General features: G+C 40.9%; 1 annotated feature.

The window, feature by feature from the left end:
• Nucleotides 657-1,856: an enhancer, noted in NCBI's record as "MED14-independent group 3 enhancer chr4:39168330-39169529 (GRCh37/hg19 assembly coordinates)". NCBI's record gives its function as "activates an origin of replication core promoter dependent on BRD2, BRD4, P300/CBP and CDK7 cofactors, and independent of MED14, by STARR-seq in HCT116 cells {active_cell/tissue: HCT116}" and the evidence as "EXISTENCE:reporter gene assay evidence [ECO:0000049][PMID:35650434]".

Consider the following 4,659-nt stretch of genomic DNA (forward strand, 5'->3'; position numbering starts at 1 on the left):
AGAGCTCCCATTAGTTACGACTAGTTCTAAAAGTATTCAGCATTTTTCATATTGTAGCACTGCCTGTATTCTTCCAGTCAGGCTAAACTGTCCTCAGCTCCTTAGGTGTCTCTCCGTGAAAAGATTTTCCTGTGTGCTCCTTGAAGGAAGCTACCACATGAAACTTAACCACCCAGCTTCCACTGGCTAAGGGTCTTTTCTCATTCAAAAATCTCCTATACTCTATCCGAGCTTCAGTGAATTCAGTCTCACTTCCTCATGCTATTCAGTTCTATTACAAGCCTTCCATCAAACATTTAAGAAGAGGAAAAAATAAAGACAAAAACCAACCCCCTAACCCCCAAATCAAACCAAGTGAAACACATTTTACTTCTTTTTATTTCCCTCTGGGGAAAAACATTATTCACCCTCGTGGCTTTAACTGCCAATGACTATATGCCAATGACAACATGTCTAGCTGTGACCCCTCGTAAGGCCCACTTCCAAGTTAGACATTAGACATCTCCAACTTGATATCCCATGAGTCCCTCATGATTTAATATACTCCAAACCAAACTGATACTCCCCAAATCTCATCTATCTGTATATCTTAGCTACTTATTCGGCTGCAGAAGCCAGAACCCTGAGTCCTGCTTGATTTATAATTTTGTTTTGTTTTATTGCTTATTATCTGTACAACGATGTAGCTTCTCGAAGACTGATTGAGTCTTTGATCTCTGTAACTGGCATGATGCAGTATCTGGCAGATAAAAGTTGAACAGGTCAGGCATGGTGGCTCACACCTGCAATCTCAGCACAAGGGCAACAAAGCGAGAACTCCACCTCCATAAATAAATACCTAAGTCAGCCAGATGCAGTGGCATGTGCCTGTAGTCCTAGTTACTCAGGAGGCGAAGGCAGGAGGATTGCTCGAACCCAGGAGTTTGAGAGCAGCCTGGACAACATAGCGAGGCCTTGTCTCCGCTAAAAATCAAATAAATTAGCCAGGCATGGTGGTGCATACTTGTTGTCCCAGCTACTCAGGAGGCTGAAGCTGGAGGACTGCTCGAGCCCAGGAGATCAGGGCTGCAGGGAGCTATGATTGTACCAGTGCACACCAGCCTGGGCAACAGAGCAGAGGCCCTGTCTCAAAAACAAAAAAAAGTGCACTATGAAAAATGTGTATATGGATTTTAAGATTATTTTGCACCAAAATAAACTTGTACCAGCTTGTTACAACATGTCTGAACAAGATCTAGTTTGAGGTAGTAAAAAGAATAAGACATCAGTTTTAAAAAGATCCCTATCAGAGCAACATGCTACTGAAATTGAAACGAAACAAACATCGACTTTATGGTGGGGCATGGGTGGGAGAATGGTGAAATCACTGATGCTTTACGGGAAGTTTATGGGGACAATGCCCCAAGGAAATCAGCAGTTTACAAATGGATCAGTCCTTTTAGAAAGGAACAAGACAAGCTGAAGATGAAACTCACGGCGGCAGACCACCCACATCAATTTTTTAGAAAAAAATGATAAAAATGTTTGCAGTGGTTCACACCTATAATCCCAGCACTTTGGGAGTCCAAAGTGGGTAGATCACAAGGTCAGGAGATCGAGATCAGCATGGACAACATGGTGAAACCCCATCTCTACTAAAAATACAAAAATTATCCAGGCATGGTGGCGTATGCTTATAGTTCCAGCTACTCAGGAGGCTGAGGCATGAGAATTGCCTGAACCCAGGAAGCAGAGCTTGCAGTGAGCCAAGATTGTGCTGCTGCTGCTGCACTTCAGTTTGGGCAACAGAGTGAGACTCTGTCTCAAAAAAAAAAAAAAAAAGGATGTGGCTGAAGATCCTGAAGTATTGCTTTGAAGAATTGTAATGGGAAATGAAATACGGCTTTACCAGTACAATCCAAAAGGCAAAGCACAATCAAAGCAATGGCTACTAAGAGATGGAAGTAGTCCAGTCAAAGCAAAAGCAGACCAGTTAAGCGCAAAGGTCATGGCAAAAATTTTCAGGGATGCCCAAGGCATTTTGCTTGTTGACTGTCTGAAGGGCCAAAGAACAATTAGATCTGCTTATTATGAGTGTTTTAAGAAAGTTAGCCAAGGCTTTAGTTTAAAAAAAAATGCCTGGAAAAGCTTCAGCAGAGTCCTCTACCATGACAATGTTCATGCTCATTCCTCTCATCAAACGGAAAATTTTGCAAAAGTTTCAATGGGAAATCACTAGGTTTTTGCCTTACAGTCCTGATTTTGCCCCTTCTGACTTCCTTTTGTTTTCAAATCCTAAAAAATCTTGAAAAGGCACCTATTTTTCTTCAGTTAATTATGTAAAAAAGACTGCATTGACTTGGTTAAATTTCCAGGATTCTCAGTTCTTTAGGGGTGGACTAAGTGGCTATCATTGCTTACAAAACTGTCTTGAGCATGATGGAGTTATTTTGAGAAATATGTTTACATTTTTAATTTTTATCTTTTAATTTCATCTTTCAAAAACTGTTTGAAGTCCCCTTGTATAGTACACTGGATTCTTGACATTAGTGATCTCAGAGACTTTTTTTTTTTTTCTGAGACAGAGTCTTGCTCTGTCACCCAGGTTGGAGCGCAGTGGCGTGATCTCACCTCACTGCATCCTCCACCTCCCAGATTCAAGCAATTCTCCTGCCTCAGCCTCCCAAGTAGCTGGGATTACAGGTGCATGCCACCACGCCCAACTAATTTTTGTATTTTTAGTAGAGACAGGGTTTCACCATGTTGAACCACTCATATTCATGAGTATGTCAACCTTTGTACAGGCTTCTGGCTTTCTACTGTCAGTTTGGCTCTGTAACATATTTTTTTCCTCTTGAGAATTATTTACCACAAAGAAACAAATTTAATCACTTATTAATACAAATGATAACATGTAGAATAAAACAAATTCCAAAAAGTTGCAAATGCCAGATAGAAAACTAAGCTCACTCACAAGATAAGTGATCTGATGGCACTACACATCAGCCTCAAAGCTTGTAATTCAAATGCTCCATGACTTTCAGAGCCATTTGCAAGCAGCTGAAACTGCAAATGCTAGATCTGTAATTGTTAATGGAGTCTGTTTTTACATGTTAAAAGAAAACAAATGTACTATGCACAATAATGTCATTGATTTTTAAAAATTCTTTGTTGAAAGAAAACCAATATTTTATACTGTTTATGTTTAAATATAATACTTCTCAGGTCTTTCTACATAGTAATTTTATGATTTGTTTTTAATGAAGCTTTCAAAGAAAAACTTTGGTCTCAAACTTTAAAATGGGTGAATTGCATAGTTTTGAATCTTCGCAGCTTGAGAAAAATTACTGGTAATTATGTTTAAAATTTGAACTGGTTGCATTGTGCTTTGCTTCTGATTTCTGTTGGCACTTGTGATAGTTTTTAAATGACCATAAAATCTTTGTGATTATTTGCACTGAGCAGTGGAATATTTTTCCCCTCCTCTTATCTCTGGGTTGAATCTGTGAATCGGTTAACCAAAAGAATGTGGCAGAAGTGGGCATCATGCCAGTTGACAGCTTCCAATTTTACCTCTTCGAGCTCACTCTTGGGATGCTCTCTCTCAGAATCCAGCTACCATGTTCTGAGAAGCCCAAGCCACGTGGAGAGGCCACATATAAAGTAGCCACCATGTAAGTAAGCTTTGGCTAATAGCTCCAGGTGGGCTCCCAGCCAATAGCCAGCAGCCAGTAGCAAACATCAAATGTCAGCCATCTGAGTGAGCCATCTTGGACATTCCAAACTAATCAAGCCCACAAATGACAGGAGCCTATGCCAACATCACATAGAGGAGAAAAACCATTGTGGAGAGCCCAGTCAACCATAGAATTGTGAAATAATAAAGTGGTTATTACTTTAGACCATTAAATTTTGCTGTTGTGCAACAACAGATTGATTGATTGATTGATTGATTGATTGATTGATTTTGAGACAGAGACTCACACTGTCGCCCGGGCTAGAGAGCAGTGATGCAATCTCAGCTCACTGCAACCTCTGCCTCCCGGGTTCAAGTGATTCTCCTGCCTCAGCCTCCCAAGTAGCGAGAATTACAGGTGCCCGCCACCATGCCCAGCTAATTTTTTGTATTTTTAGTAAAGACGGGGTTTCACTGCGTTGGCCAGGCTGGTCTCAAGCTCCTGACCTTGTGATCTGCCCACCTCGGCCTCCCAAGTGCTGGGATTACAGTTGTGAGCCACCACGCCCGGTCAGATTTTTTTAAAATGCTATTGCATGCTTTCATATCAGTTGGCCCTATCGAACACTACCATTGGGGGATGAAAGTTTATTGTTCGTATGGTCCACAAATAAAGGCTTAAAACTTGCTTCTTAAATGTGCTATTTTAATTCTTCTGATAGTACACACACCATCTCAGACTGTACTGTTACCGACTTCTTTCACAATAACTGATGTGGATATGATATTTGCATGACCTTGTGAAATGAAACCACATTCTTTCATACTTAAAAAAACTTTCTTGTTATGTAAGCACTCAGTTTCCCCATTCTAGAACCTCTCTGATTGTACGTAATTCTCATACCCTCTCTGATCGTACGCGCTTCACACACCCTCTCTGATCGTACGCGCTTCTCACACCCTCTCTGATCGTACACGCTTCTCACACCCTCTGATCGTACGCG

Source organism: Homo sapiens, chromosome 4 (genome assembly GCF_000001405.40).
Source record: "Homo sapiens chromosome 4, GRCh38.p14 Primary Assembly".
NCBI lineage: Eukaryota > Metazoa > Chordata > Mammalia > Primates > Hominidae > Homo > Homo sapiens.